This window comes from Homo sapiens, chromosome 7 (genome assembly GCF_000001405.40).
Source record: "Homo sapiens chromosome 7, GRCh38.p14 Primary Assembly".
NCBI lineage: Eukaryota > Metazoa > Chordata > Mammalia > Primates > Hominidae > Homo > Homo sapiens.
In genome coordinates, this window is record NC_000007.14 from 48,487,767 (window position 1) to 48,508,696 (window position 20,930).

The 20,930-nt window shown below is 38.8% G+C and overlaps 1 protein-coding gene across 20 annotated transcripts in view; it reads left to right on the forward strand.

Moving 5' to 3' along the window:
- The window catches only part of ABCA13 (ATP binding cassette subfamily A member 13), a 476,040-nt gene that overhangs the window by 316,309 nt on the left and 138,801 nt on the right, over nt 1-20,930 (forward strand). For 12 of the 20 annotated variants that reach the window (XR_926914.3, XR_926915.3, XM_011515130.3 and 9 more), the window contains 3 exons: nt 1,470-1,578; nt 18,570-18,624; nt 20,106-20,283. Coding sequence is in view for 17 of the 20 variants with exons in the window: in XM_011515130.3 (XP_011513432.1) it covers nt 1,470-1,578; nt 18,570-18,624; nt 20,106-20,283 (342 nt within the window). In the remaining 3 variants the exon portion in view is untranslated. Of the gene's footprint in view, nt 1-1,469; nt 1,579-7,832; nt 7,885-18,569; nt 18,625-19,025; nt 19,064-20,105; nt 20,284-20,930 lie in introns of those variants that run through there. The other 8 variants (XM_011515131.3, XM_047419918.1, XM_047419922.1 and 5 more) reach the window with 5 other exon arrangements.

Here is a 20,930-nt window from a genome sequence, read left to right on the forward strand (position 1 = left end):
CTAGTGCCTGTGTAGGTGTCTGTGTGTGAGGGGGCAGGGTGGCATGGGGGAGACCCCAAAGGGTGACAGTACAGAGTTGTGTGGGTGGATGACATGGACACACCTCTGATATATGACATAAACTCCTTCAGTTCACTTTTGACTTTTCCATCAAAGGAACTTGGAATTTACCCTACTTTGGAGAATTGTGTCTATGTTGCTGTAGTTTTTTTGTTTGTTTGTTTTGGTCACAAAATCCCACTCTGTTTAGACATAGCTTTGAACACTCACAGTTCTGTAGTTAGTGGGTCTCAAGCTGCACTTCTTCTCCTTGGGGTTTAAAAAAATGATTGGCAAGGATTTCTCTGTGAACTTAAGAAAATATTTTAAAATGAGTGGTGTGAAAGATGAGATCTGCATTCTGAATTGCCTGAAGAGGTAGGCTATTTGAGAAGGAATTGGGGAACATTGTCTTGTGTAGTAGGGTTTTGTTTTTTTTTTTTCTCTTTTTGGTTTTTTAACTATATGATCAATATTTTATTACTTAGCTGTTTCCACAAACACAATAGCTGCCACACAAGTCTCTGGTTAAAAAATAATTAGTTATAGCATGAAGGGGTGGAAAGAAAAGAGATTGGAAGCCCTCAAGTTGGAAGGGATTTGAGATCTGGTCCAAAGTTTGCATAAACTACGATAACTTGAATAGGTTCCCCCAAGCCTTAACTTGCTGTGAGGCAGCGGTAATTCTACCAAGCGGATTATCTGTCACAAAAGGCAGCCTCTTCTAGAGAAATGAGCTGTTCAGTCAATTGAATTAAGACCAAAATGCATCAGTTGGAGTCATCATACTTCTTGAAGACACTCACTTGCTTTTCAAATTAATAATATATTTTCATTTTTATTAAAATATTGATACTTTGAAATATAGATACTGATGGTTTGATTAGTGTTTTTTATGATGCTTCTCATTCCAGCTTTAATAACATTGTCTTTCTCTTATTTTCACCTTTCTCTTGACAGGCATGCTACTTTATTCTCCATGCTCAGCAAATGTTCAGTTCAGTTTATTTTGAGAAATAATGTTCCATGTTCAGTTATTAATTTGAAAGTAATCATTTTTTTTCTGATAATCTTCCACACATTTAATTTGCAGGTCAAATTTCAGTAGCTTACTAACTGAGAAAGAAAAAAAAATGATAGGGTTTGGTTCCTTTATTCTTATAAGAAAATAATTATAGAGCAACATTCACATTTGTTCTGGGGAAAATTAATCTATTTTTAGCTGTAAATTATATGCTGGAGATAAATATAAAATTAGCAGACTAGAATTGACTGCTCACTGTCAGCCATGCAGGAACATTACTTTGAATCCTGCACTCAGGTGCCTTGGAAGTTAATTGACACATACGTTCCTTAAATCCCAGAATAGTTGACAAACAGACTTACGAGCTAATTTCGTGAGAGCCATTAAATTATCTTTCTTTTTTTAGGTGTGGTATAATCAGAAGGGTTTTCATTCCCTACCTTCCTACTTAAATCATCTAAACAACCTTATTTTGTGGCAGCACCTACCCCCTACTGTGGACTGGAGACAATACGGTAATGTTATTTTTCATGCATTGTAATTCACTACTTTCAAAAGACAATGTTTTTAAAAGTGAAAGAAACAGAAAAGTTTCTGAATAGAAATGTGAGGGGCAATGAGAAGGTTTCTACTTGGCAACCAATCCGTGTCTAAACACAATACCAAGTTGTAGGCTGTCTTTCCCTTTGTGTGTCATTAAATGTCTTTATTTTCTTGAACCTGTAACCTCATCTGTAGGATGAGGGGAACAAAATGTGACTGGAGAGTTCTCTCCTAAAATTATTTTATTCTGTGACTTAATATCTTACAGAAGCAAGAAAAATTTTACCTTTTAAAGACAATATTATATGGAATACTGTAATAGAGAATACAGACTGTCCCTCCTCCTTATCACTGGGAAGATGAACATCACATTTTGATTTATGCTGAGCCCTCAATTCATCAGTTATTTATGTTGATCATTGATTCATTATCTATGCTTTCTTATTTTGGTAAATGGCACAGGTCCATTTCTGGTATCCAGAGTTAACTTACTGGTTTAAGTGAATATTTATTTATTTCACTTAGGTGGGATAAATTATAATTTGTTAATTTAATTTAGCTTCTTTTTTAAAGAAAGGAAAGAAACAAGAAGTATAAGCAACAGGCCATGTCCACCACAATTTATTCACAAAATGTATTTGTTGAAACATTAATTCACATAGACATCAACACTAAACAATTTTTCTAATATGCTCTCACTTTATTTCAATCATACTTTATTTTTCCATATTTATTTTTCCTTCTACACCAGTTTTTTAACAAAGTAAATTTAATTATTTTGTGGCATTGTAATTATTTTGGAATGCTAATAGGTAATGTAAAAGTTAAAAATGTACGTGACTAAGAGAAGTACAAAAATAGTACAATAGTCATACAGAGTAGGGACAGCAGAATAACATTTCTAACATATTTGAAGTGTATCAAGAACTTCATTAGATATTTAACATCCATGGTCTTATCTGATTTTTATGTCAATTTTGTAAGATAGACAATATTTGCCTACTTTACTGATTAGAAAACTGATTTTCAGAAAACATCGCCTATCAGCTGTGGCTCTGAGCAAGGTAATAATGGGGCCATGACTGGATTCTAGGTCTAGCTGATAACAAACTCTTGCTTTTCTACTACATCAAACTGAGATGTCATTCTGGTGGGCATGAATACAGCATGGTTCACAGAGGGGAAGTCATTAACACTGGATCTTGAACAATGAGCAGAAGTTTGACTGAGGTCAGAAAGCCATTCTAGGTCTTAGCAATGCAATAACAATTATAGTGTATGTTCAGCTTATATGGAACAGTCCAGTTTCACCTCATCATAAAGCTGAATGTAGAGGGATAATTGTTGATCTCTTTGGAAAGATTGTTTAAGATCAAATGCTGCTTGGCTTTGACTGACATGATGAAGAGTATGGACTTTAGTAAGCAATGGACAGGCTTTACCAATATGTGAGAATAAGAATGACATAATCTATGTAATATGTTAGGAAGAATGATCTGGAAGCCACTGATTAAAGGGAGAAGACTGGTTGTAATTTAATGACCTATTGGAAGGATACTGCTCACAATTTTGAGGTTAAGGCCAGGATGAATCCAGAGGAAAAAAATGATAAATTTCAGACAGATGGGAGAAAAGATTGAGGCACTAGGGATGGGAATAAAAAAGATTTTAAGAAACTAAAATATAAACCTGAGCATTTTAGAGTTCAGTACTGATGACATTATAAGAAATGGCAGGGAGAAGAGATGTTTTCAAGGAAGGGGCGAGGTGATTTGTGCAGGATTAGAGATGCTAGTTTGGTTCACATACATAGATGAAAATGTGCGTAGGATTCAGAAAACTGGAGAGAAAAGTTTGGTAGAGCAGTCATAGGTAACCTAAGTTCTAACATTAATAACAAATGATAGATAAAGGTGTTGGTAAAGTGAGATCCTGCACGGGTCAGACACAGGCTCAGAACAGAAGAAGGCTATGGGTAGAACAGAGGGAAGAGGACAAAGGTTCTGTAGCCCTTGAGGTAAGAAGATCTTGGCACAGAGGCCAGTGGAGGGCAGAATTTCACATGGATGGGCAGGAAAAATGAAATATTTCAGGGTCATCCAGAAGAAGTAGAATGCAGACGTTTTGCTGGTGACTTCCAGAGGGCTAGTTCAATGGTGTTTCAGAAATGGAAAATTAAAGTAGAAGGAATTAAGCAGAGAGAGGTTGTTTTAAAAACTTGAGACTAAACAGATAAATTCTAATTTGACTTGTTGATGCATCATCATGGGAAAGGAAGGTTTGTGCAATAAATTGGGAATATACAATACATAGCACCACAGGAAGGTGTGTTGGCAGTTATTATCAAAATATTGATAAAGAACTCCCACGAGCAGGGTTCTGATGAAAATATTTCATCACATCCCTTGATGCTTGCTTGTTCCTGTGGGAAATGGACAGAGCTAGAACTATTAGCTTAATACTTAGAGTGAAACAAACCTTGCCCCAATGTGGAACTTCAGTAAATCCCATGAAAACAGAAGCTGTGTCTTGCTCCCTGTTCGTCTCAGCAGTCGCACAGCACCAGGCTCAGGGGACATTCAGGCTATAACAAGTGAATGAACGGATCATTATACTACACGGACAATATATCACACTTCTCATGACAATGGTTTTTGATGAGGTTTCAGCAGATGTACACATTCTAATATTAGAGATTTCTGAACCCTGATGCAGGCCGCTTGATAAGAAGCTATTTTCTTAGAACCCAGGCTGGCCCTTTCTCTCTAGGAGACAGCTAGCTGCTCCTGACCTATCTTCTCAGCCTCATGTCTCGCTTATGGCCCCTCACTTTCCCCTCCGTGTAGCTGGCCTTTGCATCACTGCCCTGCCATCCCTGTGAGCCTGGTAGCTGCATTGCCTCTGCTGAGACTGCCTGTCTTCTCCTGCATCACCTTAAGCATTTCTGCTTAACTTTCTAGGCCCATCTCAGACATCACCTCTGTTGGAATACTCACCACCCCTGCAGGATGAGTTAGTGGCTTCTCTTTCTTCTCCCACAGTTATTTGCTTATGAAATTCATCCATATATTTATTTCTATCAAGCATTCATATAATGACAGATATTTCCCAGACACTGTGTTAGGTCATTGCTGTATTTTAAATGTGTCTCCCAAAAGTCTGTGTGTTGGAAACTTGGTCCGCAGTGTAACAGTGTTGGGAGGAGGAACCTTTGAGAGGTGCTTGGGTCATGAGGCCTCCTCTGTCATGAATGAATTAATGTCAGTGTCTCAGGAGTGGGCTACTTATTGCTGTTGCCATGCCCTTGGACTTCCCAGACTCCAAACACTGTAAGAAATAACTTTTTTCCTTTATAAATTACCCAGTCTCATAGCTGGGCATGGTGGCTCATTCCTGTAACCCCAGAACTTTGGGAGGCTGAGGCAGGTGTATCACCTGAACTCAGGAGTTCGAGACCAGCCTGGCCAACATGGTGAAACCCTGTCTGTACTAAAAATAAAAAAATTAGCTGGGCGTGTTGGTGGGCACCTGTAATCCCAGCTACTTGGGAGGCTGAGGCAGGAGAATTGCTTGAACCCGGGAGGCAGAGGTTGCAGTGAGCTAATATCACTGCACTCCAGCCTGAGTGACAGTCTCAATAAATAAATAAATAAATAACCCAGTCTCAGGTATTCTATTATAGCAACAGAAAACAGACTAAGACAGTCATTAGAGCAGTTGATACTTCACATTATCATTATTTGTTTACATTCCTTTGTTAATAAAAGTGTAAACACTTCATGGAAGGTGTTTATACTACTGATGTTTGTGTTTTCTAAAGTCTTTATTCATAGGTATTCAATAAATAGGTCATTTAAGTGAATTTGCTTTTGCACTATATTTTAGGGTTACTATAGTACATTCCATTATGATAATTACATTCTAAAATAAAGATAAATATGCAGCAAAATATGTACTTGCTTCTTTCGTTATTAGGACCTTTTAAGTTGGCATAATTTTGTTAAATTAAAATATTAAATAAAGATATAAAATAATGAACCTAAGAGGAAATTTCTTTTAATAAGATTAACAGAATAAGTGAAAACAGAAGATTAAATAGAAGTGCTTAAGTAGATAGGAAGGTATCTTCCTCTGATAGAGTAAAAATGAAAAGGGATAAAGTATTATTTTATTTTGTGTTATTGGGGGTGGTTGTGGGTGGTGATGATAGCAGTTGTAAAGGTTAAACTTCTTCAACTACTTATTGAAATTTCATCCAAACCTTGGCATGCCAGTAATGAAATGCCACCATGTGGGAGGAATTAACCTCAGCAATGTCATGAACAAGCCAGATCCATGGTCATTAAACTGTCTGTACATTGGAATCACTTAAGCATTTAAAAAATATTGATTTATGTTGCTTATCCAAAGATTCTGATTTGGTTGATTTGGAGTAAGTCTTTAACAGCAGGCATTTTTAATGTTTTTGGGTGATTCTAATGGTAACCAAGTTTGAGAACCACTGGGTTAAACTGATAAACTTCCCAGCTGATTCATATTCTGACCACTGAAGCAGGAAAACAGACAGAAGTGTAAGTTAGGAGTCAGTTTAGAGATATCCACACTCACCTTCTCACTGCTAGGAAGGAACCTGATGGATACCTGGCTACTGGGTGTCAGGGGAGGACTGTTCTGTATTAGAACAAGAAAGAGCTCTTGACTTTCTTTTCTCCCCATTTGTATATCTCTTTTGGAATCCCCTGGAGGGCCACAACTCATTAGTATGCTGCAAACCCCAGGGAGGAAGGAGAAGGGTGGTGCATGTTGCATGCTAGGATGATGGGACAGAGATGAAATGAACCTGGGAGCAGTGGATGACATGCATGGTAGATTTTCCTGCTTTGCTTTTGATGAAATGAGAAACCTGCTAAAATCTCCAAATCACAATGAGAGAGTATGAGCATGAGAACAGGGGAAAATCTCTGATCTGTAATAGAGCTACTGAATGAACAGCATTGGCTGTTGGAATTCGGCTGGCATCCATAACCTTCAACATGCCCTTGAGAGCTTTGGGTATATTTGAGATATTTGAGAGAGAAGATCTGGTGGTACCCGAGTGAAGGTAAAGGGGCACCCTGGTAAGGGAGGATTCTGAGCAATGCAAAGCACCAGTACTAGCTTGCCCTTGCTGGAATCAGGGAGTAAGAAACAAAAGGACAGCAAAGCCAGTTATCAAACCCAGTATGGAACAAGGACTGATCCCCCAACCACAGAGAGGAGGACATTGCATACCTTGAGAGGGTGTTTTCATGGGGAGCATCTCATGATGTGTTTATATCTGCATAAATAGAGGAAAATGTGTGAACCCTATGAAAGAGAGGATAAAAGATAAGAAGAAAATGCCAGGCTGAGCTGCAGTGTGTTACAAAAACGGAGCTAGCTAAGATGAAGATAGAAATATGAATTTTCATTGGATGCAGTGAATAACATTATTGATTGATTACAAACCTCTCTCCTTCACTTAGAATTATTGACTTAAAGAACAAACATGCAGTATTCTCTAAGAACACACAGGGAAAAGGTGACACAGTAAAACTGATCAGAGGGGAAAAGCTAGAGGAATCGGGTATAGAAAAAAAGCAGATGAATAAGAAAGTAAGAAGGAATGATGTAAGAAGAAAATGAATCGAACACAAAACAAAACAACAAAATAATTCTGTACCAATAGATTGGAAGAGTTTGTCATGATTCTATCAAAATTTATGAATTAGGTATTATGGCAGTAGCAATGATTGATGCACAAATTTGATGAATTTTCTAAAGTTCAAGGATAAAGAAAAAAGTTTTTACAAAGCTATGAGTCAAAGCACATTAGTTTCAAAGGAATAAAAATAAGACTGGCCTCTGACATTTTTTATAATTTCTCTTGAGACTTCATCTTTGACCCAGGGATTATTTCAAAACATGTTGTTTAAATTCTAAGTTTTTGAGATTTTCCTGTGGTCTTTCTGTTACTGATTTCTGGTTTGGTTCATCACGGTCAGTGACCATACTCTGCATTATTTCAATTATTTTAAATTGGTTGAAGTTCATTTTATGGTCAGGATATTGTTTATCTTGAAGCTTCCATGGGTGATTAAAAAAAAGTATTCTACTCTTGTTGTTAGAAATGTACATTATATGTCAATTAGATCCTGTTGGTTGATTGTGTGGTTTTGTTCTTCCATATCTTCACTGATCATTGAAGATTACTGAACCTTCACTGAAGATCATCACTGACACATTTCGTTTGCTGAGAGGCGAGTAGTAAAGTCTCCAAATTGTGGCTTTGTTTCTTTTTTCAGTTTCATCAGTTTTTTCTTCATGTATTTTGAAGCTCTGAGGTACACGTCAAATGTGTGTACACATTTGGCATGGTCACATATTTCTGGTGGATTGAGCCTTTTATCATTTGGGATGATTATATTTTCCTGGTAGATTAATCCTTTGCATATATGTAGTGTTCCTCTTTGTCACTAGTAAATGTAGTTGCTGTGAAATCTATTTTATCTGATCTCAACATAGTCACTCCTTCTCTTTTTCTTTTGATTAATGTTTACATAATATATCTTTCCCGTTATTTTATTTCCAACCTATCTCATTGTGTAAAGTGAGTTTTGTGTAGAGTGTATATTGTTAGGTCATATTTTTTAAGCTGCACTGCCTATCTCTGCCTTTTAATTGGTGTTTGGGAACCATTGCATTTAAGGTAATTACTAATATATTTGGGTGTAAGTCTGACATTATCATTTGTTTTATGTTTCCTCTGTTTCTCTTTTCTTGCTTTCCATGAGTTACTTGAGCATTTTTTTTGATTCTATTATGATTTATTTATAGTATTTTTAAGTATATACATTCATTTAGTTTTCTTAGTGGTTCTTCTAGGTGTTATAATACATATATATGACTTATCACAGTCTACTGATATTGTTATTTACTACCTTGGGTGAAGTGTAGAAAGCTTACTTCAATTTACTTTTACCCTGTTTACCTTTAAAATATTATTGTCTTAAGTGTTTCCTATACACACCACATCAGATGGTGTTCTAATTCTTAGTTAAGTCACCAAATATGACTTAGGAAACTCATGAGATGAACAATAGTCTATTATATTTACTTCTATTTTTAACGTATCTTGATGTTCATCTTTCCTTTTGTAAGTTCTAAGCCTTTTCCTGTTATGATTTCCTTTGTGCTTATGTAACTTCTTTTTGCTATTCTTTAAGAGTAGGTTTGCTAATGAAAAATTTGCTTATTTTTTTCAACTGATACGATCTTTATTTCACCTTGATTCTTGAAAGATATTTTCACTGAATATAGAATTCATGGTTGACAATTAAAGAAAAGCTCAGCACTTGAAAAATGTGCTACTTCCTTTTGGCTTCCATGGTTTCAAATTAGAAATCCATTACTATTCTAGTTGGTATTTTCTTCCTTCTCTCTTTGTGACGGCTTTAAAGAATTTTTTTTGTTGACTTATTAGTTTCTAGAAATTTAATTATGATGTATCTTGGTGTGGCTTTCTTTGGTTTTATCCTATTTGGGATTTATTTAGCTCTTGGATTTTTAGGTTTATGGTTTTTTTTTGCCAAACTTGGGAAGTTTTCAGCTGTTATGTCTTTGAACACTTTTTCAGCCCCACTCTCTCTTTCCCTTTTCTCTAAGATCAGGTAATAAGATTATTAGCTCTTGTATTGTTTTCCCAGAGGTCTCTTTCCTGAGTCTCATTTTTTAAAAAGTTTATTTCTCTATGTTATTTAGATTGGATAAGTTTTATTTTTTTCATCTCGAGTCCATGCAGTCTCTTCTTTTTTAGCTGCACTCAACTGTGGAGCATGTCCAGTGGGTTTTAATTTCTGTCATTGTATATTTTAGTTCTAGAATTTTCATTCATTTTTTAATCATTTATATTTTCTAATGAGATTTTAATTTGTTTTTCATATTTAAGGAAAATTCAAAATTACTTTTTGAAGCATCTTTATGATACATATTGTCAGATAATTTCAACATTCAGTTCATTTTGACATTACCATTTTTTATTGCCTTTTTCAACTGGTAATATTCTGGCTCTTGTTGTGAAGGATTATTTTCAGTTGTATCCTAGGCATTTTGGAAACTGTAATATGTGACTCTGGATTCCTTTTCCTAGCAGGCAAGCCCTCTGTTGAGGAATCATATGAGAGCCACCTAGATGTATATGTTTTGATTCCCTGTGGGCCTGATGACACCACCCTGGCTAGGCAAAGGTAGAGAACTGACTTACACTGCTTTTGTGCAGATGAGTGGGACCAGATCGCCCACCAGCCTCACTGACACATTCATGGCAAATGAGGCACTGACTCATGCTGTCTCATTGTCTCTAAGTGAGTGGGGGAGTAGAGTCTGCTCCCCATTGGGCCCTGATGACGCTGGGGACAGGTAGTGAAGTACCAGCTGGCTCACTTTGAAAGTATTCTTTAGTCTCATCGAAGCCAGATGGGAATGGATGCTTGGCATCCCTCTGTGCCCTGCTGCCACTGGGGTGGGGGCAGTGGTGGAACCAGGGTACTGAGTAGCCGTATTCTGCACTTCTGGGTTCAGTCTCATTGCTGTCAGGTAGATATGGAGGCTCAGCTCTTTGTTGGTCCCTCATGACATGAGAAGTAGAGTGGCGGCTAGCCCTGTCTCACTCTGCTTTGTGAAGTCTCATTGCTACCAGGTGGGGATGGAGTCTCAACTTGCCTCAGGACCCCAGTGAGAAAACCACTGTGCCCCTTGTCTCTGTCAGGTGGGGAGTGGAAGATTCACTACCCAATGGGCCCTGCTGAAACCTGAGATGGTGGGGACAGTTTTGCTGGTGGTGTTTGCCTAGAGTAAGGCAGATATTGCTAAAAAGTAGTTCTTTTGTTAGACCACTCTTTTCCGGGTCCTTGGGTTTTTTATTTTTGGGAGCCTTTCTTATTTGTACTTGTTGAGTTTCAATTTGGAGACTTTGGCAATGCCTTGTTCAGGATATATGTGAGGTGATAAGGAAGCCAGAATATTTACTGTTGTATTGTTGAAGTCTTATAGTCTCAGGGCACCATCATCTTGTTTGCACCCCAGAATCTTCCTATTTCTGTTTGTTGTGTTATGTCCAGCAGTTTTTTATTGTAAAAATGAGGACTTGGCAGAACTGGGGCTGCTCCATCTAGGAGGACTATCTCTGACATATTAGCCACAACCTCAAAGGCAAAGAATAATAGAATAGCACCTATGGAATATGGAAAGAAAAGGCTATACTCCCCACATTCTGTACCTAGTGAAGATGTTTCCATAAAGTACACAGGCCACAGAGATATGCTCATATAGAATGTGGCTCAAAAATATACTGTAGACATATTGTCCATTAGAAAGAATGCCAGGAGGTAGTTATTTGAGATATTAACTGAAAGGAAGATCATGAAAATATTGAATGCACACAATGAAGAAAAGAACTTGGGTGAGCACCGGTTGTAGTGAAGGACATAGATTATGCAAATGTTTGCATGCATGTGGTGAAAAATTAATGGAAGATCAAGAATTACCCATTAAACTGAAGATATGTAATATAAAACTTAATAATAATGCATACATGTAGAGAAAATTCTCAACAGAATTAAGATCCAAATGCAAACAGTGATTACTTCTGATTGGTTTTGGATAGGATTATAAGTTATTTTAATTTTATTCTTTACCCTATTTAAAAATGTAAAACCCTTCTACAATTGGCATCTATTACTCATAGAGTAATAATTAATATTGAGAAAAATACATTTTTTCAGGATAGATTGATGAGGAAGAGAGAGAGAAAGTCATCAAAACGCCTTGTAGTCAGAAGAACGCATATATTTCTTTTAATAGTTTGTTAGATTGAATTAACTTTTTACTCTTACATATTTCACTGATATCTCATAATGAATTAATTAAAACAACGTAAACTTTCCACATATATTGATGATAAGACAAGTTTTTCCTTTTGGTAGATGCTTACAGACATCTGGGCATTAATACTTCTAAAGATATACATTTTATAGGAGTAATGAACCCGAAAGTGAGTACTTGAATTGGAGACATCTTAAGTATCTTGCTATCATAATGGATATTGGACAAAAGCACAGATGTGCATTTTTACCAATGACAAATAAACAGAGTCTGGAAACCATAACAGATGTAGCCATAATGAGAACACTAAATGAGAAAACTAATTTTGTACATTCATACATTGCTGTGGGCCAATTCCTGGAAAGAAAAGCCGGAATATAAATGATAATAACAATCAAACAAAGAAAAATTATTCAAATGTACTCAACATGTACATTTTGAAACGTCATTTCTGAAAACTTGTGAAGTAATGTCGTAAAGACTTCAGTGAGATTCTTCTACTCAATTCTGGTGTTGAAACTATGCCCCTTTTACTTAGGAGCCTTGGACCTTTTACCAACATCATTGTCTCAAGATTCTATCACAATACAATTGTTACCTACCTAGAGTACTGAGTGCTCAACATACAATGAAATCTACAACCCAATTACAGAGATTGTCCATTGCAATAATGTGTTTTTTACAGCAAGGGTATCAAAGACTACAAATGATTTTCCTAGTCTCATAGGAAATTGATCAGACTGGTATCCAGAAAATCAGGGTTGTAGTTCTCACTCTGGTACCAATTATGCTTGACCTCAGATAAGTTAGTAGAGTAAGCTTATGCCTCAGTTTCCTTACCTGCACCCACTCACCAACCTTGGCTACACTTCCTCTACAGTAGGCTCCATCACGTCTCGTAGGATTCCTCTTTATGAGACAGGGCATAGCTATCCTCTCTTTCTTTGGATCCATGAAGAGAGTTCTGCTTTCTAACGTTTTACAATTTTAAAGAACAAGGGGTATCATGGGAAGGTGCAGGGTAGTGTGAGGGTGAGCCCATGCCGTTGCAATTGCTCCTACCTGCTGCTTTTTGCTCAGGGATCTAGGACAACCAAGGACCTTAGGTAGGAGAGTAAGCTTCCACCTGTGTCTTGTTTGTTCTTTCTTTATTCATTACTCTTATTTTTGAGAAAATATCCATTATTTATTTAAGTAACTCCAAGTCCATCTTCCTTTTTGAAAAATAAGAGTAAAATCTTTTTAGCACCAATTTAAAGATATATTTGCTTGATTTTTAATGTATGTTTAATTCTATGCAGCTGCTTTCAACGAATGACTATGATTCTAAAAACATCTAATGTAGTGATTGATAAGCTAAATTGCAAGATAAAAATGAAAAGTTCACCCAGTGTTCCTAAACCAAAACATTGCATGGGTTTCACCCTGCACCTCTCTGCCACCCCTCCAGTCTTCCCACTGAAGCTCCAGGGCAGCCCTGTAGGACTGTACTTTCCTTGCACTCCAGCCCTGTGCTGGGGTATCCTGTGCATCTGGAATCTACCTTTCCTTAGAAAGCTCCCCGACTTCCTCCCACCCTGCTGCACCCAACCTCTTAGGTGACCTTACACAGGACATAGTCCTGTGAGTGGGCTATAGTACCCTCACCATGGTGTGTCCCTCCCATCAGACTGCTGCGGCATAATGGGCAGAGAAAAGATGCGTGTTGAATGAATTCTCCGTTCTGTGAAGGAAGAGGAATCAAATCTCTATTTGACCCTTGGTGAAACTCAATTACTGTCCAGTGCCCCGGTTTTCACCACCAAAATCATAACAAAGTCAGAACATTCTTTAACCCTTGGCCTGACAGGGGCAGGCTGTTGTCTTATAAAAGCTGGTGGTCAATGTCCAGTGGAGGGAGGTGGGGAGTGAACTCAAGACTGACAGCAGGTCCAGGGTTTTCTCTACTTACTTGATGACATTATTTTCCTAAACACTGTGGTCTAAGCCCTCTCATTCTCTGTGTATTAGCTTTGAAAGATAATTTTTTAATTTCAGAGTAAAAACATGGGAATGTTAAGCCCCAAAATGCTTAGGAATTGTCCAAGAGCTCTGAGCACTAAGCAGAAAGGCCCCATTCCAAGGCCATGAGGATTCCCTAGAGCGCCCCATGAGAGGAACTGTAGATCAGTGTGTTCTTTAATAGAGTCTTTAAATATTTACTCTATGACAATCATGTAAATTATAGGACTCTAAAGCCTGTGCCAAATGAAAATCTGTGGCCCCTCTGAATTATTTATGAGTAAGGGACCTAGGAAGAGAGAGGCAGCCACTGTAGTTTGTGGGGGTTCAGGTATTTGCACCAGTGGTTTTTTACTTCTAAGACCTAAGTAGAGACAGAGCTCATGGAAGATTACAGCTATGTGCAAAAAATCGGAAAAGGCAGGATGGCTGCCATCAGTGGGCTGTCTCCTGAAGTTCATTACGTGAAATTTATCAGCTGCTCTCTTCTGCTGTCATAGTTGAGGTTTTCATTTCTATGTTATGCTGTCATTGGGATCCATTGCGGCTCATTGTAGAGGCAGGATTTTCAGTGCTCTGTATGTTAGTAGGTGATTTGATGAGAGAGACACATACCTGTGACTCCAGACATGTGGGTTCTGCCTGTGTCAGGAGCAGGTTCTAAACTCCAGGAAAAGTCACAACATTCCTCTGATTCTGTTTCTGCTTCTGGAACACAAGGGCCTGTCCAAGCTAGACCACTTCATGGGATTTCATTTTCCTAAAAGAATCTATAATTCTAAAATGCTGAAAGCTGACTTACAAAGAACTGTGCATAGCATACTAGCTTCCTTAACACAATTTCACCATCAGATTACTGAATGAGAAAATGTATTATGAAAACTTCCAGGAGAGGGTCTGGCACGTTGGGGAATTACTAACTACAGGAGCAGTCAATCATTTCACCAGCGAGATGGGAGACCAGATGTACTCTCGCCTCCTAGATGAAAACCCTAAAAGAATGACACAAATCCAGGAAATGTGCTAAAATGAAGGGCAATAAATTCATAACAGAAGAACTAGGATACAGAAAGCAAATATGAGAACACTGTTTTTAATCTTTCAGCAGTGACTGTCATGGTTTAAGGTAAGAAAAGGTATTTATGCGACTTGATCAAATAAAGATCCAACCTTGGTAGTTTAATATTTTATTATTGAGCTCCCCACAGAAACAGCAGTGTTCTTTTGGCAGCTTTTCACTGAAGAATGAATAGAACAGAGGCCTTCAACTTCCAGCCCTGTATCCTTCCCACTGTATGGCTATAGTCTTAGGAAAACCAGACACGTGTGCTGAAGAAGGGTGTATGATATGCTGGCAGGGAAATAGTTGTGGTGTCTGCAGACTAAGGCCTGAATCTCAGCTGTGTCATAGCTGTCAGTCTATAGGAACATTTCCTAAATATCTGTGCTTCAGATACTGCTTCTGTAAACAGGCATAATAATTCTGATGTGACATAGTTGCTCTATCAGAATTTATACAAATAGTCTAATGTCCTAAATAGCATACAGCACATGGCTACAGGCTAATTTTTGTGTATTTCTGGCTACCAACTCTTTCTCTCTGCTCACAAGTTTGAAAGGACTTAGAGTTTGAGATTTTCCTCTCCTCCTTTTTGCCCATCTTCATACTCCTGAAAATTTAATTAATCCTTTTTTTGTGAGGATAACTAAGATCTAATTTCTCAGCAAATGTTTAGTATGCAAAACATTATTAACTGTAGTTGCCATGCTATACATTAGGTCTCCAGAACTTATTTACATATTTACTTATGTATGTATTTATTTATTGAGAGAGATGAGGTCTCACTCTGTTGCCCAGGCTGGAATGCAGTGGCGCAATCATGGTTCACTGCAGCCTCAGACTCCTGGGCTCAAGCAGTCCTCCCACCTCAGCCTTTCAAGTAGCTGCCACTACAGTTGCATGCCACCATGCCCTGATAATTAAAACAATTTGTTTGGTAGAAATGGGGTCTCTCCATGTTGTCCAGGCTGGCCTCAAACTCTTGGGCTTAAGCAATCTTCCTTCCTTGGCCTCCCAAAGGGCTGAGATTACAGGTGTGAGCTACCATGCCCAGGCTTTATTTATCTTATGTCTGGAATTTTGTATCCTTTGACTAACATCTCCCCATTGCCTCTTTCCCCTGGCCTGAGGTGACAGCCTTCTACTCTCTCTTTCTGTGAATTTGACTTTTAAAAGTTCCACACATAAATGAGATTTTGCAGTGTTTGTCTTTCTTTGCCTGACTTATTTCTCTTAACATAATGTCTTTCATGTTCATTCATGTTGTCTCCAAGACAGGATTTCCTTCTCTTTTGAAGCTGAGTAATGTTCCATTATGTGCATGAATATCTATCTTATATTTTCTGTATCCACTCATTTATCAACAGACACAGGTTATTTTCATATCTTGGCTATTGTGAATAATGCTGCAATGCACATGGGCCTGCAGATATCTCTTCAAGATAATATTTTATTTTACTTTATTTTTTGACATACATCTAGAAATGGGTTTGCTGGAGCATATGGTAGATCTATTTTTAATTTTCTGAGGCACCCCTATAGTGTTTTCCATAAGGGCTGTACTAATTTACATTCCCACCAGCAGGATAAAAATTGTGATAATCATTTTGTAATGTATACATATATCAAAACATTACATAGTACACCTTAAATGTTTGCAATTATTATTTGTCAGTTATACCTGAATAAAGCTGGAAACAAAACAAACAAAATGAAAGCAATAATAATTGAAAACCAAGGAAATTAAATTCAGCGTTGGACAGACATGAGGCAGGAGTGGGGTGTCAGCAGGGTTGGACAGGAAGCATAAGCAAATGACAACATATGCCTGCAGCCATAGAGTTTGGGGAAATGATAGCAATCCAGCTTTTCAAATGGGAGCAGTGGGAGAATACAAAGATTGGGTTTCACTTTAAAGGAGATCTGTGTCTAGGTAAAGAATATGGGCTCTATATTTTTCTATTTCTTTCTGGAAGTTCTCTAGGCTTTCTGGGTGAGGGATTCATGAGTGTGCGGAGAGGTGAGCTGAGCAGGGATGCACATGTTTGTGAGTGAGGCCTGGCACTGCGAGGATGGAGTTCACGTGAAAGTAACAGGACTCGGTAACTTCTTGGATGTGTGGGGTGAAGAAGAGCAGGGAGATGGGGAGGGCTTAGTGTTTTTTGAGCCTGGGTGACTGGGAAGATGATGGGGATATTTGCCCCAGGGTGTGTGTGTGTATATTTAGGTTAAACAATTTCAGTATTCTACTGTGTTCCTCAAATAATATAATTCCAAGACATGTACTCAGCTAACCACATTTCTCTGGATCCTCTTAATCCAGAGTGTTCTCATTCTTACGTAGAGTCTAGAAGAGCACACAACATTGCAAATATACTCCACAGCACCAGTGGTCCACGGGCCATACTTTGGCAGGATCTGATACTTTATAAACACTGTCTAATGTCGCTTGGCTTTTTCTGACCTCCTGATAAGGTTGGTTGACATTGGGCTGCACATCAAGTGAGAAGCTCCCTGTGAGTCAACACTTTAGCTAGGAAGGACAGGACTGGCAGGCCCCATGAGGTGTAGGCTAGAAATAAAGCTTGGTGAAAGAAAGACACATAGGAGAAAGACTGGTGGGTGTTATTGGTCCAGACAGGTGAGGGATCAAGACCACACAATTCAGTTCATGATGAATGTGGTAAGTCCAGGATCCAGGAAGCGATGCAGCAGGTGTCAGGCACACACACTGCGAGCCTGGACCAGAATATCTGGACAGTATTAATTTATAATCAAAATTTATTCTGGAAAACTGTACAGTGGATTTGCTGAACCAACAGCTCCTACTGTTGTTGCTTTTATGAGCCGGAACTTGCCTTAGTACGTGGCTGAGTTCCCAATAGAAGGAAAAAAAAGGCTGGCATAGCTGGGGAGAAGAGCAGGTGGCAAAGGGACAGAAGTCCAGATGCCTGGTCGCAAAGCTGTTGGAAGTTTGGAGCACTGTAGCCTGTTCCAACTCTGTACCTTTTTTGTAGGCTTACTTATACCCCATGATGTTTCAGTAAGGATTTAATGTGCTCTCATAAAGCAGTGCCGATAAGATAATACCGATAAGATGAATTAAAATACAGGTGATAGTATAAATTAAAATACAGATGATAGGGTAAATTAAAGGCGAGCCAAAAGAAAAATAAGCAAAATCTAGGACTGGCAACATGAAATGGAGCAAGGATTTGTGCCTTTGGTAATGGCCTCCACATACAAGCCACACATTTGACTCCAATCACTGACACAACCAATTAGGCAAAGGAAATCTGATTACTCTCACAGTCCACAATGTCCAAGATAAAACACGAACCAACTTTATTTATGGAGTTCTTCTTAACACAATATTGACTAGAATTTCTGGGGAAGCACTGTCCCACTCTGTGATATTATAAACAGCTCTTATAATAAAATGCTTTTAATTGATAAGCTGATGGCAGTTTCTTCATTTTGGCCGCTGGCATCACACACATGCGCAAGCCCAAGAAAGCAAACAAAGCAAAACAAAACAAACAACTCCAAAACCAAAATTGGTTCAGTGAAACAGTCGTTATCTATCTATCTAGATGTGGCTTGATCTAGAGGTGAATATTGATCTGATTCATATCAGATAGTCTTCTTTGCATATTGTTACTTAGCCTGAGTATGTTTCCTCTCTGCAAACATAGGCTATGGGATACTTATGAGGATTACACAATAAAACATGAGAACCTATGAACATAGGGCCTGTCATGTAAAGCATGAACAATTCATGCTGGTTATGTTTGACAACAACAGCAATGACAGAAATCCCAGCACATATTTGCTGAATTTCACAATGGAATTTGCCATTTTTTTCTGCTAATTGACCAGGGCCTGGGCAAAGCAAGCAGGATACATTGTGATGGCACAGGGAATCTGCGTAGCCTGTAGATGAGCTGCGATTCACCATGCAGGAGCAGGCTGAAGGCTCACTTTTCAATTTGTCTTTCACAGGAATAACACTCTACAGCCACCCATATGGAGGGGCCTTGCTGAACGAGGACAAGATGTGAGTTGATGGAATGCTGAGGGGTGTGTGACCCTGACTATGGAAGAAAATCTTTGTGTTACTTAGGGATGACTTTGGTCTCTCTTTTGCATTTGCCCCAAGAGATGGCTTATAGAGTTAGCAGGAAATGCCCACAGGACTTGGGCATTTCTTTGCAAAGTGTGAGAAAAACGACTATTAAGAGAGTCAGTACATTGACTGAGCTTAAAACAGATGAGTTTGTCATGCAACTGTACTTCTAAGCAGAAATTCTTCTAAGGGAATGATTTACCAGAAACTTATGGGACTGTACATCTTCTGAAGAGTTTTCGGGGTTAAAATCATAAACATTGCATTCATGTACATAAACATAGTAACGCCTCCTTGAATATTTCTCATGCAAGATTTTCCTCCTGATCCAGATGGAGACATGGGTGGGGATAAGGCCAGAGCTCTTCAGGTACAGAATTCTGTGTCAGTTCTCACTGTCTTTGTAAAGGGTAGCATGCTTCCACCTGTCTTCTCTTTTTCTCCCCCATCTCCCTTCTCTATTATATGGTCGACAAACTTTTAATTAAAAGTCGATAATAAAAGTGGGTATTTTTGAAAAACTTTTTATGACCTACCAAATTAAGTCGCAGAATGCAAATCTGCTTAATGGGCATTCTCTGCTCAAGTTGTTAATCTGGCAGGAACCGGCAGGAAGCACCGGTTGGGTTGCAGCTTGTCCTCACGTTCACTTAATGATTTTCAGGGTTCTAGCTTTAACAGTGTCTGACACCTGCCAGAATTCCAAGAGTAGGCTAGCTGACATCTGTTGTAGAATGCGACACGATGGAGCAGAAGGCATGGCACAGCAGATGACTTGTGCTGAGGAGTTCCATCGTGTCGGCCTCCTGAAAGACCATCTGTGGTCTGACTGTTCCTAAAGGAGTTGAGAGGAGGCAGCAATTGACTTGAGTAAAAGTAGTAGTGTTCCAGGTAAAACAATTACTAAGAAAATGTACAGTGTATAATATTACAGAGCACCTCAATCTATTGCAAAATCTTGTTGGTATTTCATGTGACTAAATTCAGAGATGGGCCAGTGCAGTGTGGAGCTGTAGTGAAGGCTCCTCTCTGGCAGGTGCTACTGTATTGCAAAGCAGTCCCTGTGTGGGCAAAGGTCACAGCTTACCCGGATGCTGCTCAGAGGATATCTTTCATCTTAATTGGGAGTCAGGCTCAATGGTGAAGAGCAGATTTTGACACAAGAAGACTCCGAAATGCCCTCAAACTGTGCTCCTCAGTTTTGTCTTCTGTAAACTGAGCTTAGTCATCCATGTCTCAAAAGGTGGCTGAGGGGATTTAATGAGGGAATCCATGCCCTTAGCCAACATGCCTGGCTGATTATGAATTTTTAATTAGCAGTTTTCACTGCTGTCATCATTGCTGATTGTTATTAGCAAAGAAGGCTTGTGTTCTTCGTCAGGTGCCTGAGAGCTGCTCTGTTCCACCCGCAGCCTGGAGAGCATCCGTCAGTGTGGAGTGGCCCTCTGCATCGTGCTGGGATTCTCCATCCTGTCTGCATCCATCGGCAGCTCTGTGGTGAGGGACAGGGTGATTGGAGCCAAAAGGTTGCAGCACATAAGTGGCCTTGGCTACAGGATGTACTGGTTCACAAACTTCCTATATGACATGGTAGGATTTGGGAATGAGATTCTGTGTGCCTCCACAATAGTGATCTAAATAGTGCGTGTATGGAGGGATGGAGGGGGGCATTGGGGCCCTGGCTGCCTTGGAGTGTCCACAAAAAGGGGTCATCTTATTGATAAGAGCATTTCAGATTAAGTCACCTTTACTGATCACCATAGAATTGGTTCATAAGGGGAAGACTGATAAGCTTCAGGCTGGAGAACTGGGAAATTATAGAACTTTACAAAGATGCAAAGTTTCTTATTGAGAAGATGAGAAAATTATTACCTTTACTATGCTCTTTTCAATGGGGTAGCAGATGAGGTGATAAAAATCATTAGAAATGATCTTTCATCTGCATGCTTAACACCCCCTCCTGTGAGACCTGTGCCTCATTGCCTAATAGGTATGGCGGGTATTATTAGCATTTTTGGAATGCACTCAGTTTCCCAATGGAAACCCTCCAGATCAGTGTCTGCCATCCTGGGGGACAATAACAGATGCTTTGTCTAGGTGTTCCCTATTCTTCAGGACATTTATCTTAAGTAAAAAAAAGCATCTTATATGATAAGTTGTTCTTAGTGGTCAATATCTACTGTCATTGTTCTCTGGTGGAGCTGTCTTTATTTTGTAGGAAAGTGATATCCTTGCCC